The sequence below is a fragment of the Homo sapiens genome, chromosome 10 (assembly GCF_000001405.40).
Source record: "Homo sapiens chromosome 10, GRCh38.p14 Primary Assembly".
NCBI classification, from domain to species: Eukaryota; Metazoa; Chordata; class Mammalia; order Primates; family Hominidae; genus Homo; species Homo sapiens.
Window position 1 is genome coordinate 74,859,197 of NC_000010.11, and position 16,905 is coordinate 74,876,101.

Consider the following 16,905-nt stretch of genomic DNA (forward strand, 5'->3'; position numbering starts at 1 on the left):
CAGCCTCCTGAGTAGCTGGAATTACAGGTGCCTGCTACCATGCCCAGCTAATTTTGTATTTTTTTTTTAGTAGAGATGGGGTTTCACTGTGTTGATCAGGCTGGTTTTGAACCCCTGGCCTCAAGAGATCCAGCCACCTCAGCCTCCCAAAGTGCTGGGATTATAGGCGTGAGCCACTGTGCCCAGCATATATCTATAATTTAAATTAGAACCCTCAATCAGAGAAGTCTAAATAGGCTGAAAAAGAAACTCATTTATTTAAAAAAGAAAAATGACATGCAGATGGATGTATATTATATTCTTTTAGTTTTTAGTAAAAATTCAGAAAAATAAACATGAACTTGAGGTAACGAGCCTCTAGAATTCTTCATTTTATTTCATTTCACAATGTTTCAGCAGTCTTCTGCAGTTAGTTGGAAGGTTTTGGAAATTCTGACTAATCCAGTTGTTGAAGAATAACTAGTTAGCTTAATAAATATGTTTTCTAGAGCTGATAAAAAAGATGATTTTTTCATCTGATGAGCTCTGACCCTCTATAAACCTTCTAACTTAACTCATTTTCCACCAGCTACAGAAATGTAACAAGATGCCAACAATTACATCCTCATGGAGCATGTATACTAGCTTATAAAATCACCCCTTTGTTGGAAAATTGTGTAATATCTTGATTTCAATTTAGCATGGCATGTTGGTTAGCAGTAAATCTTGCTAGTGTATGAACACAAGCCTGCAGGCAGTTTGGAGAACATTGATCAGGTGTAAATTGTATGTATTTTTCTCGCTTCTAAAAATTTTATAGCAGAATGAAATAAAGAGCTAGCATTGAGAACACTTTTTCAGTTGTTTTTTATTTTTTATTTTTATTTATTTTTATTATACTTTAAGTTCTAGGGAACATGTGCACAAGTGCAAGTTTGTTACATATATATACATGTGCCATGCTGGTTTGTAGGTTGTTTTTTATTTTGACATGTATCTTGTGGAAAGTGCCTTCTCTCTCCTGAAATCCATGATTTGTGTCTCTGACCACTTAGGTTCCCCATTTAGTATGTGACACATAGCAAAAGCAAACAAGCATAGTTAAAACGTGTATTTGTGCCTTGTGAAATGTGCATTATAAGCAGTTAATACTAGATTTGAAGGCTGTACAAAAAACATGCAAAAAGATATTAATATTAAATACTTAGTGCTTATTGTGTATATTAAGCATTTAATATATACAATATAATTTTGCATGAACTCTGAAAGATAAGTACTGTTATTAACTGAATTTTACAGATGAAGAAACAGGCCAAATAAGGTGACTTGCCCAAGAGTACACAGGAAGTATTGGAGCTGGTGTTTCAATCCTGGTGCACAGGCAGAGTGTAGTGTAGTCACTTTATCACCTTCTGCCTCTCATTTCTTCGGGCGAAATCAACACATACCTAGTGAATTCTTGCAATATATAAAACACTGTATTAGGCACATAATATGGAAGTTACCACATATCTAAATGGTAATAAAAGTGATCAGTTGAGGCTAGGCATGGTGGCTCACGCCTGTAACCCCAGCACTTTGGGAGGCCAAGGCAGGAGGATCACTTGAGGCCAGGAGTTCGAGACCAGCCTGGGAAACATGACAAAACCCCATCTGTACCAAAAATACAAAAATTAGCTGGGCCAGGCGCAGTGGCTCACACCTGTAATCCTAGCACTTTGGGAGGCTGAGGCGAGTGGATCACCTGAGGTCAGGAGTTCGAGACCAGCCTGACCAACATGGAGAAACCCCGTCTCTACTAAAAATGCAAAATTAGCCGGGCGTGGTGGCACATGCCTGTAATCCCAGCTACTCGGGAGGCTGAGGCGGGAGAATCACTTGAACCCGGGAGGTGGAGGTTGCGGGAGCTGAGATCGTGCCATTGCACTCCATCCTGGGCAACAAGAGTGAACCTCCGTCTCAAAAAAAAAAAAAACATTAGCCGGGTGTGGTGACACACACCTGTAATCCCAACTCCTCAGGAGGCTGAGGCAGGAGAATCACTTGAATGCCGGAGGCCGAAGGTGCAGTGAGCAGAGATCACACCACTGCATTCCAGCTTGGGTGACAGAGCGAGACTCTGTCTCAAAGGTAAAAAAAAAGAAACATGCTAATACATACAGCTGTTATTCCTTTTCAAACGATCATTGGAGTGATCATCACTTTTAGAGCAATTGAAATTTTAAGAATGAATAATAACAACCAACATTTATAAAATGCTTTACTATGAGGCAGGCACTACTTCAAGTGCTTTGTGTATAACCTGTTTGTAAGGTAGGACTATTCATTCTTCGTTTACAAAGGAAGAAGCTGAGGCATGTCAGGTGAAAGGACTTGCCCAAGATTACCTAGCTATTAATGTGGTAGAGCTGGAGCCAGGATTTAGACCCAGGCATCCAAGCTCCTTGATCTGTACATGTAACCATTATACTACATTACCTCTCATTTTCCTGATGAAGAAAACTTCTTTTAATGAGAAGGTATTGAAAATAGTTTCATATTAGGTTCTTATAAACATGAGCCTTTAAGTGCCTTTTTACTGTTTATAATAGACGTCACTGAGAAGATTGTTAAAATTTATAATATGATATCATTAAAGTAGCTTTTCCCAAATGATGTTCTGAGGAAGAAGGAAGTACTCTACAAGAAATTAATGATGCTAATAATAGTCTGAGATTTACAGTACCTGAGTAGTTCTAAAATTTACCTTGCCTAACCCAAGATGATTTGACGATGGGCCTCTCTCCTCTTTGTCTTCATAGCAGCCATTCACTTGTCTAGAAATCTTTGCATTTGGTTAAGCAGTTTGGATAGTGCTGATGTAAGGTTATAGTGCTAATTCCTTTGCTTATTTCTTCTAAATACACATCCCAAGGGAAACCATTGATTAATTAAACTTGGAGTTTGTCCTTCAGAATAGAAAACCAAAAATCATCAAATTCACCCCTTGTCTCTATTAATGTATTGATTTAGTAATATTTATGTAATTCTTTAAATGTAGTATAAAACTTTAGAGTTGCAGGAGATCTTTGAGATCACCAAGTCCAGGGTTTTAAGGCTAAGGTTCAAGGAGCCCTTTTTTCTGGGGTTTGTAGACCTCTGAAATTATATGCAAAAAGAGTATTTTTCTGGAGCTTCTTGCCCCTCCTCTCCTTCAGCAGGTCATTTGACCTAGGCCAGTGGTTCCCAAACTTTGCTGCACATTAGAATTACTGGAGGAGCTTTTAAACGTTAGATGCCCAGATCACACCTCCATGCTGCTTAAATAAAAATGTTGGAGTGGGAGTCAGGCATTAGAACTTTTTGAAGTTTCCTTGTGATGCCAGCATGCATCACATGCTTTCTTCTTTAATAGATGAACAAGTAGGATCTACTTATGTGGCTGAGGAAGCAATCTAGAGATGTTAATTGGTCAGGGCTCTGCTTCCTGCTAAAAGAGATTTTAGAGATCGTTCTGAAGGAGTCTTGTGGGGAAGTGGCTCTGGAGCTAGAATGCTTAGGTTCAAATCCCAAGTTTTCCTCAGCTGACTAATAGGGATGATAATATAGCACTGACCACACTGGGATAGTCGCTGCCTGAGCTACAGAGGTGGTGAGCTTGTCCTCAGCCTCAACAGAAAGGTCAGCTGAACAGACTCCAAGGCAGTGGAGGGACGGCAGCCCCCAGCACTCCACTCTGCCATACTGTTTGGGAAGGAAAAGCTGTAAACCGATGTCCTCATTACCTTCTAACGAAGACCTCCTCTCCTCTTGCTCTCTTACGCCAAGAATGGCTAGAATCCGTTTCTCTTTGTGGCTCCTTCCACCCCACCTCATGTTATTTAAGTAATCAGAAAAGGAGTCTATTATTTTCAGAGTAACACATGCTCCTTGTACAGACTTTGAAAAACAGAAAGATTTGGAGATGATACATTATCACTGCAAATTTGACTATAAAGATAACTACTGTTGAAAGTGTGTATTTTCTTCCAGTCTTTTTTCCTTTTTTCCTACATGTAAATATGTATGCTATATTTAAATAAAAAGAAGACTGTGTGAGCTATATAATTTTGTATCTTCCTTTCTAAATTTAAAATCTGTTGTGAGCCTTTTCCCATATTCTTGATTATTCTTTGAAGCTGACTAAATAGCTGCATAGTATTTATGTCTTTATCCTTCAAAATTTAAGGTGCTCCTAAATCTTCTGCTATTACAAATAATACCGCTACTAAAAATTTGTGCATGTGTGGATAATTATTTCCCATAGAATAGATTACTAAAGGAGGTAATACTGAGGCATGACTATGAATTCTTTTTCTAAAGCTTTGGAAGCATATTATCAAAAACTGTTCCAAAAAGATAGTACCAATTTATACTTATGGGCAGAGTATAAGGGAGTGTGGGCATCTAATTGATTCTTAATGCTTACCTTTTGTCATGTTAATGTAGTAGAGGGAAGAATGGATCCTTAGGAGTTACTTTGCATTTCTTTGATTACTAATGACTTGGACATTTTAAAATGATTAATGGCCATTGCTAAATAACAGTGTTGTGGTTATTTCCCCATCCTTATTCCTATGCCCTGCAGATAAGCATCTTCAACTCTTTCAACCACATTTAGTCTGGCTTCTTAGGGAAGTTGGAGGTCTGTAATATTCTTACGCTGTTGTTTCTTATTTTTAAATTGTAGACATTATCTGTTGACTTCTTGCGAGTGTAGATAAGGATAAAGGTCCCTCATACACATACACTTTTCTCTTTCCCTTTGCCCCTCTTATCTCAATATACACTACTTTTATGTAGGTAAGTATATGTATTCAGTGCTTATATTTTTATGAGTTTGTAAATATTATTCACACTTGAGCCATCAAAATTTTTTGTTGTTGTTTTTTTGAGACAGGGTCTCTCTCTTTCAGCCAGGCTGGAGTGCAGTGGCGCGATCTCAGCCCACTGCAACCTCCACCTCCTGGGTTCAAGTGATTCTCTTGCCTCAGCCTCCAAAGTAGCTAGGACTACAGGTGCACACCACCATGCCCAGCTAATTTTTGTATTTTTTGTATTTTTTTGAGATGGAGTCTCACTGTCGCCTAGGTTGGAGTGCAGTGGCGCGATCTCGGCTCACTGCAACGCTCCATCTCCCAGGTTCAGGCGATTCTCCTGCCTCAGCCTCCTGAATAGCTGGGATTACAGGCGTGCTCCACTACGCCCGGCTAATTTTGTGTTTTTTAGTAGAGACGGGGTTTCACCATGTTGGCCAGGCTGGTCTCGAACTCCTGACCTCAAGTCTGTATAAAAAAGCCTGTATATGTTCTGTAAAGACGCAACCATCCACTTTTTTCCCCTCAGGTATTTTATTTATATATTTGGAGACAGGGTCTTTCTCTGTTGCCCAGGCTGGTGTGCAGTAGTGTGATTTCAGCTCACTGCAACTTCCGCCTCCTGGGTTCAAGTGATTCTTCCCCCTCAGCCTCCTGAGTAGCTGGGATTATAGGCATGGGCACCACCCCAACCCTCGACTACCCCAGGTGTTTTGAATTGAGGTTAGTTGACTCCACACATACAGAGGTCCAACTGTATATAAAGTAAAGAGTAAAAGTTTTACCTCATTGGCCCTGTGTGTTCTTCTCTGAAAACAGCTTTCCAAAGGCAGCCACACTTGGTGGTTTGTATGTATTCTTACAGGGCTTTTTAAAGCACTTGTAAGCTAATATTATACCTACGTTTATGTATTTCTTGTAACAGAAATTGGGATCGGACTTTGGTATTTTTTCTTTTGAAAAGTTTTTAGATATATAAGACATATATGAGTACATTCTTCTTGAAAAAGTTCTAATAGCAGAAAGAAAGTGTCACACAAACTCCCTGAGTCTCACTTACCTTATCTGTAAAATGGGAAGGATTATATATTCTTCATAGGGTTGTTAATTAGAATTTAATGAAATTATGCATTTAGGTGGCCTAACACAGTGCCTATTCAATAACAAAAATGAGCTAGTTATTTTGAACATGTATCAGCTTTGGAATTTTTAATGAAGAGCATTTTGGCATATTACTGTATAGTTTGACAGTGGTCTTTTGATTTGCTCAGTCCTTTTTCAGGGTCTTACAGAAGAAAAGGAGAGTCTTACATGTTTTCCTTCATAGCTTTGTATGCTGTAAATATGAGTTTAGTTTAATAGCAGAGTTTTTCTTTCTTTTTTGAATTAATTATTTGGATTGCTTCCTCTCTACTGCCTTCAAGCCAAAAGCTCAGAGTTTCCCAAACCAAAGTGTGCCTCAATCACAATTTTTACCAGTTTTATACAATCTGTATTAATTATTTTATCTTTTTTTTTTTTTTGAGATGGAGTCTTACTCTGTCACCCAGGCTGGAGTGCAGTGGCACAATCTCAGCTTACTGTAATCTCCACCTCCCAGGCTCAAGCGATTCTCCTGGCTCAGTCTCCCAAGTAGCTGAGATTACAGGCGTGCACCACCACGCCTGGCTAATTTTTATATTTTTAGTAGAGAGGGAGTTTCACTGTGTTGCCCAGGCTGGTCTTGAACTGCTGACCTTAAGTGATCCTCGTGCCTTGGCCTCCCACAAGTGCTGGGTTTACAGGCATGAGCCACTGCACCCAGCCCCTGTATTATTTTCTTAATACTTGCTTTCACATTACCGCACTAAAGAGGCATAATAACCAAATGCCGTGCATGGAAAACAGTACAGTTGACCCTTGAACAACACAGGTTTGTGCTGCGCTGGTCAACTTACGTGCTGATTTTTTTCAACCAAATCTAATACAGTATTCATGGATGCAAAATGCACACATACAGAGGGCTGATTTTTTGTCTCTGTGGGTTCTTCAGGGCCAGCTGCAGGACTTGAGTATGTGTGGATTTTGTTATAGTCTGAGGTCTTGGAACTGATCCCTCATGTATAACAAGGGATGACAATATTAAAAAATTACTTATTTGGGGGATAATTGGATACATTTGAATTTGGATTACATATTAAGGGAACTTAATGGCATTAATGTTATTGTTCTTCAATATGATAATGGCATTTTGATTATCTAGGATGTCTTTATGAGTTGGGAGATGCCTTCGGAAGTATTTAATGGTGAAGTGTCTTGATGTTTGCAGCTTACTTTCAAATGGTTCAGCAAAAATCATACTAAAATATGTATGTATAAATATATGTGTGAATATAGACAGATATAGATAAAGATATGAGGCAAAAGATAGGACCCCTAATTGTTGAATCTAGGTGAAGGGCATACCAGTGTTCATTATGCTACTTCAACTTTTCTGTAGGGCTGAAAGTTTTTCAAAGTGTAAACTTGGAAAAATAAATGTAATTAGAATATTTACTTAAAATTAAATTGCCTCATTTTCTTTATCTTAGTAGATTTACTAAAAAAAAGGAGTCTATATCATTATTGTAAGTGGAAAACAAGCATTCCTTGCCATAAATAGAAGATAACTGTAAAAGTTATTATTTTAAAAAGTTTCAGCTGGATATTGTTGTCTGCCAAGGCTCTGAGCCTGAGGCCTGCTCTCTCAAAAGAAGATTAACAAGCATTAGAGGCGTTAAACACAATATTAGCACCAAAATGAGACTTTCTTCTTGACTTAATGGGAAGGTATGAAAGAAAATTGAAAAGGGAACAAGTTTCTCATTCTGTGTGATTCAGCTCACCTCATAACATCTCAAGTCTCACCTCAAGGCATCTTGAGTACCACTAGTGATAGAATCCCACACTTGGGGAAATACTGTATCAGGTGATTTCAGTGTAATGTGTTAGAATGAAAGTAAATTTTTATATTAAATACTGTTTATAGTGCCCATTATGTCTTTTTTAAACCTTGTATGTTGGTTTATCATCATCATTATTATTATTTGGTAGTCTCGATAACTAGAGCTAGCTGCATGGTTAGCTGCGTGATGTCCTGGCTTAGGGCAGATGTCAGATATTGCAGTCTAAATTATTATTGGGGTATACTTATTCTATTTTATGATATGCAGTGTTGCCTGACTCTCGAAGCATAATAAAGCCAATTGAGATCTTTAAAAAATTAATTATTATTGATTTCTTACTCTGAAGTTGCTCTTGTAGTGGGTTTTTGCTATATATATTTTTTCTTTCCTTCTTTTTTTCTTGCTACATTGTTCCTGCTGTTATTTGGAAGGCACTAGGACATTTTGCCTCTTGAACAATGAAAGGATCCAGATCGTGTCTGTCTCACATTTTGTTATCCCAGTACAAGACTCAATTGAATAAAACATATTACCCATCTGGCCTGGAAATCTCAGTGGCACTCAAAATAACTTACTAACAAGTTGTTGGATCATGATATCTTGAGATTTTCTGAAAGTTCAGCTTCTTTTTAGCTGTTGCTAAGAGAGAAATTTCATTGACATGAGGGACACGAGGACATGTCTGCACACTGCCAGTTGTTTTAGAGGCATTTGGCTCTGCCGCCTTGCAGATGGTTAGACTCTGGGTGGTGGGTGAATGTATGCTGATTATCTTATTGAATTAAGGTAACCTTTTGTCATTCATTGAATTCTGCAGACCAGTTGGTCAGTGAGCAGCTGCTCCATGTGGCTTGGTTTGGGTTTTGAAGTACACAAAAACTATCTTAAAGGGTGGTCAGTCTAATCCAGGTATTCAACAAAGCAATATTGAAAGCCTTCTTCCCCTTTTGACACTGTTTTCTGTTCTGATGGAAGTGAATGAGCAAAAATATTTTTACTTTTTGCTCAATTAACTAAATGATTGAAGCAAAGGTTTATGGAATGGCCGAATAAGAATTTTTTAACCTAGTGCTTTAAGTTGAAGAAAATACACTTTCATAATATTTGGTGTCAGAAACATTCTACTTTTATGGCATGGTCTTATGTTTGAAGATACGTGGTAGAGTTTTTAAAGTTTATTTTTACAAATATCTAGAAACTAAAAAGCATTCTTTTTTATCATGCATGCTTAATAACATCATCTTGACAAATACTAGCTGCATAACTTTTGGTTTGTAGGGTTGTTTTAAGATCAGTTTTTTGTTTGTTTATTATATTTTAAGAGACGGTGTCCCTGTCTTGCCCAGGCTCGTCTTGAACTCCTGAGCTCAAGCAATCCTCCTGCTTCAGCTTCCCAAATAACTGGAATAAATCTGCCATATTTTTTCTATATGGCTTCCATTTCAGTTTCTAGAAACTCTTTCAGGAGGCTTCATTTTAAATAAAGAGGTTCTTAATTGTTTTTAGTAAATTGCTGAAATTGTATGGCTCATTTCTCTTCTCAGAGATTTTTATCTTGAGCTGATCCTTTTGGTTTTACTGAAGGTGCAATATAGGTAACCTCAGAGAAAGTGACTTTAGCCACTAGTTGATTTGCTTATTGTCAGAGAGAAATCATTTAACAGTGATTGATGAGGAACTGTTTAATTTCTCCAGTTTAGTCACCTGTTGGGCCCTAGAGCCTTTCGATTCAGAGCTCACTGTTTCATTTGCATTTATATCCTAGTAACTATCATAATGTCTACCAGTATTTATTAAGCACATATTCTGTGCTGGGTGTCGCCGTTTATATATGCTCTTTCATTTTGTCCTCACCACAACTTTATGAGGCAGGTCTTGTTAGCTCCATGTTAGAGATGATACAGCAGCCTCCCAGGGATGTTCATTCACTTGTCTGGTATCATGCAGATAGTTAATGGCTGGGCCATATTGGAGTCCAGGGCCTTCAGACTCTCAGGCTCATGCTCCCTTCTGCCCTGCTGCTGTTTTAATGAAAATCAGCCTTGTTCTGAACCACAGTTTTACAATGAAGCTTAAGATTAAACTGAAAATGCTCAAGTTCTCTGTTAGGGCTTCAGATTCTATGTCTATACTTGTCTTATTAATGGTAAAAATAATGTAACAACATTAAAGAAAAATTTTGAAGGGTGAAACACTGTTTAGACTCTTGCCACCTTAATACAACCGTTTTGTTTTTGCTTATTTCCTTCCAGATTTGTTTATGCGCGTGTCCTTTCACACAACTATAATCAAAGCATATATACAGCTATGCAGTTTTTTTTTTAAACATAGTGTTATTTTATACATATTTTCTTTTTAAATGTTCTTTTTTGTTTTTGAGATGGAGTCTCACTCTGTTGCCCACCCAGACTGGAGTGCAGCGGTGCGATCTCCCCTCAGTGCAACCTCTGTCTCCTGAGTTCAGGTGATTCTCCTGCTTCAGCCTCCCTTGTAGCTGGGATTGGCCATGCCTGGCTAATTTTTGTATTTTTAGTAGATACAGGGTTTCGCCATGTTGGCCAGGCTGGTCTCGAACTCCTGGCCTCAAGCAATCTGCCTGCCTGGGCCTCCCAAAGTGCTGAGATTACAGGCGTGAGCCACCACGCCTGGCTTTAAATGTTGTTCTTTAAAAAGACTTTTCCCACCTCTTTGAATTTCCCAATCTCAACGAGGTCCCTTTTATAATTCGAACAAAGGACCATATGCTTTTTCTTATTAGCCTTTATTATAGTCTAATTATGTATTTATTTGTCTGGCTATTTTGTAACTTAAGTTGTCCCCTCTAAATGGAAAAGCTTCATGAAGACAGGGACCTTATTTCTGCTGTATGGATGCAAGCAGTTATTTATTAACTAAGATTAAGCTTCTGTTTATCTGTTACCTCATCTGTCAGAAACAGTTGGACAGATTTTCACCAAACTTAGAAGGTTTTTGAAGGGCATCTGTGGTGATCAGGAGACACATGACATATATTTTCTGATCCTGTGTCTGAGATAACATACAGAGATTTCAAACATGAGACCTGGCTGGGTGCAGTGGCTCATGCCTATAATCACAGCAATTTGGGAGGCTGAGGCAGGAGGATCAGTTGAGTCCGGGAGTTTGAGAACAGCTTGGGCAACTTAGCGAGACCCCACCTCTACAAAAATACAAAAATTAGACAGGTGTGATGGCATGCCCCTGTAGTCCCAGCGACTTGGGGGTGCTGAGGCAGGAGGATCAATCACTTGAGCCTGGGAGGTTGAGTCTGTTGAGTCTGCAGTGAGCCATGATCACACCACTGCATTCCAGCCTGGGAGACAGAACAAGACTCTGTCTCAAAAGACAAAAAACCCCACGAAAAACCAAATATGAGACCATGAGACCTATATTGAAGGGCCCAAGGGCAGATTGTCAAGATGGCAGACCTTGGTTTGCACTTTAGAGTTGGGTAGCTTCTTAACTTGGGCTGTTCCACATCTTAATCTAGGATGAGCAGCAACAAGGATGTCTTTATTTAATAATGACCAACAAGTCTCCCAGTCACATACTGACTAATTTCAAATAAATGCATTTGATCTTTTCATTTTCATTTTGCTTGTTTAAATATAAATTGTCTATTGAAAGAGTTTTTTTTTCTTTTTGAGACAGAGTTTTGCTCTTGCTGTCCAGGCTGGAGTGCAATGGTGGATCTTGGCTCATTGCAGCCTCCGCCTCCTGGGTTCAGGCGATTCTCCTGCCTCAGCCTCCTGAGTAGCTGGGATTACAGGCATGCGCCACCACGCCCAGCTAATTTTGTATTTTTAGTAGAGACGGGGTTTTCCATGTTGGTCAGGCTGGCCTCAAACTCCTCACCTCAGGTGATCTGCCTGCCTCGGCCTCCCAAATTGCTGGGATGACAGATGTGAGCCACCATGCCTGGCGTTTTTTTGTTTTTTTTTTTGATATGGAGTCTTACTCTGTCACCCAGGCTGGAGTGCTATGGCACGATCTCGGCTCACTGCAACCTCTGCCTCCCGGGTTCAAGTAATTCTCCTGCCTCAGCCTCCCAAGTAGCTGGGATTACAGGTGCCCAGCACCACGCCCAACTAATTTTTTTGTGTGTTTTTAGTAGAGACGGGGTTCCACCATGTTGGCCGGGCTGGTCTCAAACTCCTGACCTCACGTGATCCACCTGCCTGCCTCAGCCTCCCAAAGTGCTGGGATGACAGGTGTGAGCCACCAAGCCTGGCCTTTTTTTTTTTTTTTTTTTTTTTTTGATATGGAGTCTTACTCTGTCACCCAGGCTGGAGTGCTATGGTGCCATCTCAGCTCACTGCAAGCCCTGCCTTCTGGGTCCAAGTGATTCTCCTGCCTCAACCTCCCAAGTAACTGGGATTACAGGCACACACCGTCATACCCGGCTGATTTTTGTATTTTTAGTAGAGATGGGGTTTCACCATGTTGGCCAGACTGGTCTCGAACTCCTGACCTCAAGTGATCCACCTGCCTTGGCTTCCCAAAGTGTTGGGATTACAGGCGTGAGCCACCATGCCTAGCCCTCATATGGTTTATGAGTACTTAAGACATGTTTGATTCAATTTAAAAAATAATTACAAGCTGGGCATGGTGGCTAATGCCTATAATCCCAGCACTTAGGGAGGCTAAGACAGGAGGATTGCTTGAGCCCAGGAGTTTGAAAGCAGCCTGAGCAATATAGAGATACTCTGTCTCTACAAGAAATTTAAGAATAGGCTGCAACACTCACTCTAAGGGGAGCATTGTGAGGTATACCAAGATGAGTAAGAACAATATGGTTTAGCATGCCAGAACAAGGAAGTTTCAGGTGCTAGAAACACAGACATCCTCAGCTCAAACAGGAACGCCCAGAACAGTATACAAGAAAGCCTGGAGCTGGAGTCAGAAGACTGGCTCCCATGTGTGGTGTCCTAACTCTCTCTAGACCTCAATTTCCTCATATGTTTAATAAGGATAACAACCTACTCTTCAGCCCACCTGAGAGGACAGGATGCTTCAAGAAAGACAGTGAGCAGCAGGTCCTTTAAAAATCAAAGGAAAACAGGCTCCTGGATAGGTGTGAGATAGAAGTGAATTATGGCACATACGAGAGCAACAATAAATTATCCTTTACTAACAGTAACCTAAGGGAAATGCCCGGCATTGTGTCTGGCACAGACTAGATACTCAGTAGTTCCCTTCTCACACTTGCTCAGCCCTGTTTGAACCCAGACAGAGAGCAGCTCAAAATATGCAAGTATTACATACTCACAGAACCTGGAGACAAGAGAAGCGGCTTCTAGGCACATGGGCTCCCATCCTTGCAGCAGCTGGTATAGAGGTTGCATGACAACTTGTGAGGATTCTGCAGTAGCGTGGGCTCAGCTACATGACCTAAATAAAGGTCTCTTTCAACCCTGAGATTCTGTAAGTTTCTTTTTCTTTAGACAGAGTCTCACTCTGTCACCCAGGCTGGAGTGCAGTGACACGATCTCGGCTCAGCGCAACCTCTGCCTCCAAGGCTCAAGTGATCCTTCCACCTCAGCCTCCCGAGTAGGTGGGACTACAGTTGTGTACCACCATGGCTGGCAAAGTTTTAAAGTTTTTTTGTAGTGACAGGGTCTCACTATGTTACCCAGGCTGATTTTGAACTCCTAAGCTCAAGCGATCCTCCCACCTCAGGCTCCTGAGTAGCTGGGACTACAGTCTTGTGCCACCACTCCTGGCTAATTAATTTTTTTTTTTTTTGTAGAGAGGGGGTTCTGCTATGTTGCCCAGGCTGGGTGAACTCCTGGGTTCAAGTGATCCTCCCACTTTGGTCTTCCAAAGTGTTGGGGTTACAGGCATGAGCCACTGTACCTGTCTTAGTTTATGTTTTAAAGTCATCGAGAGACATGAAAACTAAATGGTCCTAGGTTGGAGGAAGAAAACTTACTGTAAAGGACAGTATTGGGGAAAACTGGCAAATTTGGAATATGTACTGACTGTTAGATGATACTCTTATATCAATGTTAAGTGTCCTAAGTCTGATAATACATTATGGAAATGAAGAGAATGACCTTGTTCTTAAGCGGGGTGAATGATCATGGTCTTTACAACTTATTCTCAAATGATTCACAAAAGAGAGATAAAGCAAAAGTGGCCAGTTTTAAAGGGCATATGGGTGTTTATTGAATTATTCCTGCAACTTTTCTATAGGTTTGAAATTTTTTCAAAATAAAACTTTTTTGCCCAGGCATGGTGGCTCACGGCTATAATTTCAGTGCTTTGGGAGGCTGAGGTGGAAGTATCGCTTGAGGCCAGGAATTGGAGACCAGCCTGGGCAACATAGAGAGATCCCATCTCTACAAAAAATGAAAAAAAAAAAAAGCCAGATGTGATGGCATGTGCCTGTGGTTCCAGCTGCTCAGGAGGCTGAGGCAGGAGGATCGCTTGAGCCCAGGAATACAAGGCTGCAGTGAGCTATGATCATGCCACTGCACTTTAGTCTGAGCAGCAGCAAAATAAATAAATAAATAAATAAATAAATAAAATAAAACTTTTTAAAGGTCACCGAGGCTGCTGTGTGGCCAGGGGAGCTATAGAGGAGCAAGGGTAGAGGAGGGCAAGCCTGGGAGGAGGCCTTTGTGAGGATGGAGGCATAGACTGGGGTTTTGACAGTGGGGATGGAGAGATGAGGACAGATCTGAAATATGTTTTGAAGAACATATTTAACAGAACTTGCTCATGGATTGGAAGAGATTTTAGGGGAGAGAGAGGGAGGTAGATGTTCCCCACTTGGTGCACCCTGATGGTTGCAGACTGAATTCCAATAGAATCTTCTCCCCAAGGTCTTTTTATTCCCTCTCTCTTTTCCTCAATTCAGCCACTCTATGAGTAGTTAATACAGGTATTTATTTCACAGATGAGGTGAGACTCAGGGAGATGAAATGACTCATTTAGAGTTATCAGGTGCAGACAGAAATTTTACTCTACCCAGAAAACCAAAATATAGGCATGAAATCAGTGTTCTTCAAACTGAATTGTCTCTCATTAATTGATTGTGAAATCAACATAATGAGTTCCTATCAGCATTAAAGAAAAAAAAAAGAGAAACAGAATAAAAATATAGCATGCCTTGTGTAAAAGGGTAAGTAATGTTTCATGAAACTTCTATTTTAGTTTAATATTCACATATGTGTATAGTAGGTCATGATGTGAACGTATTTCTTACTTGAAGTTATGAAAAATTGGAAAGGCACATACAGGATCATTGTAGAAGGAACTTATGTTATCACAGAGGTCCTGTAGTCCCCATGGGAATAAGAAAGCAAAAGACAAATTCACTTGGGTGGTTACTGTAGGTTGTCATATGTTGTTTATTTCTTCAGTGACTGATAGGCTGTAAGTCTGTCAGTTTCTTAGTTGTTTTCTTAGTTGATTTTTCTTTTCTTTTCTTTTCTTTTTCCGAGACAGAGTCTTGCTCTGTCGCTCAGGCTGGAGTGCAGTGGCGCAATCTCGGCACACTGCAACCTCTGCCTCCTAGTTCAAGGGATTCTCCTGCCTCAGTCTCCCGAGTAGCCAGGATTACAGCCATGCGCCACCACACCCAGCTAATTTTTTGTAGTTTTAGTAGAGACAGGGTTTCTACCATGTTGGCCAGGCTGGTCTCAAACTCCTGACCTCAAGTGATCCACCTGCCTCGGCCTCCCAAAGTGCTGGGATTATAAGCGTGAGCCACCATGCCCAGCCTTTCTTAGTTGATTTCATAGTCATCCTGTACTTCCAGTCTTGCCATTAGCAAATATTGAGTACTTGCTGTGTGCAGGGTTAGAAGTTACTTCTTTGTGTGAGATCTATGTTTTGTGTGTGGGTGGTGTGTGTGGGGTGTGTGTGTGTGTGTATGTGTGTGTGTGTTTGTGTGTTTAAAAGTAGACTTTTTTTTGAAGAGCAATTTTAGATTTACAGCAAAATTGAGTGGAAGGGGCAGAGATTTCTCATGTACTCCCTACCCCTACACATGCACAATTTTCCCCATTATCAACCTCCCCCACCAGAATGGTTGTTACATCTGATGACACATTGTAATTGCACAGCCTTATCACCCAAAGCCCATAGTTTACATTAGGGTTTACTCCTGGTGTTGTATATTCTATGGGTGTGAGATACATGTTTAAAAATATTTTGTATTAGATAAATTGGGGATAATAGTCATTTCAAGAACAAAATGTTGGATAAATTAAATTAGCTAATAAACACAGAGTGCTTTAAACATTCCTAGTGCAAAATAAGATCTTGTTGTTTGTGGTGGTGGTGGCTATTCAGGCTTAAGGTCTAGATTCCACTTAGTATGTAAGTAAATAATAGCAATCCTGGCTGTCATCTGTATGTGTAATGTAGTAATCAGTTTTGTTTAGCTAGTTCTTATGTGTAGCACATTAAAGCAATCTTGAATAGTGAGGGGACCTCATTACTAGATTACCATTAAATGGTAATGTTAAGTGACCCTGAAACCAAAGTAATGGAAAATTGTCTTCCTTTTTTTCTTTTTTTTTTTTTTTCCCTTGAGATGGAGTCTTGCACTGTCACCCAGGCTGGAGTGCAGTGGCTCATGGCAACCTCCACTTCTTGGGTTCACGAGATTCTCCTGCCTCAGCCACCCAAGTAGCTGGGATTACAGATGTACGCCACCACACCCGGCTAATTTTTGTATTTTTAGTAGAGATGAGGTTTCACCATGCCGGCCAGGCTGATCTCGAACTCCTGAGCTCAAGTGACCTGCCCACCTCAGCCTCCCAGAGTGCTGGGATTACAGGCATGAGCCACTGTGCCCAGCCTGTCTTCCTTTTTCTCAAACATTTAATTTGCTGTTTCTTGATCACATATCATCCTTCTTTCCTTTCAAGGTCAGGGGAGATAATTTTTTACTGTATGTACTGCTGCATCTTCACACAAATTATCATCTGAAAAGCCTTCTCAGATTTGACAAATGAAGTCTCTTTTCATTCCCAGGAGGAACTTGTTAAACCAATGAAGTTCAAAATTCTAATTCCTGTTCCTTTCTAGTGTGCACCACTTTATTCATCTTGAATAAACATACAACCTCAAGCATCCTACAAGGCAAATAGATTCCTTTTTAATTAGTGGCTCTATACACAGAGTTTTATCATCAT

At 40.1% G+C, this 16,905-nt stretch overlaps 1 protein-coding gene across 35 annotated transcripts in view, besides 3 other annotated features; it reads left to right on the forward strand.

Moving 5' to 3' along the window:
* KAT6B (lysine acetyltransferase 6B) overlaps positions 1-16,905 on the forward strand; it is a 207,689-nt gene that overhangs the window by 34,261 nt on the left and 156,523 nt on the right. The window lies entirely within an intron of this gene.
* Positions 11,255-11,489: a silencer, noted in NCBI's record as "fragment chr10:76630209-76630443 (GRCh37/hg19 assembly coordinates)". NCBI's record gives its function as "represses an EF-1alpha promoter that drives an FKBP-Casp9 reporter gene in an ReSE screen in K562 erythroleukemia cells {active_cell/tissue: K562}" and the evidence as "EXISTENCE:reporter gene assay evidence [ECO:0000049][PMID:32094911]".
* Positions 12,709-12,778: an enhancer, noted in NCBI's record as "active region_3600". NCBI's record gives its function as "activates an Ori minimal core promoter by ATAC-STARR-seq in GM12878 lymphoblastoid cells {active_cell/tissue: GM12878}" and the evidence as "EXISTENCE:reporter gene assay evidence [ECO:0000049][PMID:35858748]".
* Positions 12,789-12,918: an enhancer, noted in NCBI's record as "active region_3601". NCBI's record gives its function as "activates an Ori minimal core promoter by ATAC-STARR-seq in GM12878 lymphoblastoid cells {active_cell/tissue: GM12878}" and the evidence as "EXISTENCE:reporter gene assay evidence [ECO:0000049][PMID:35858748]".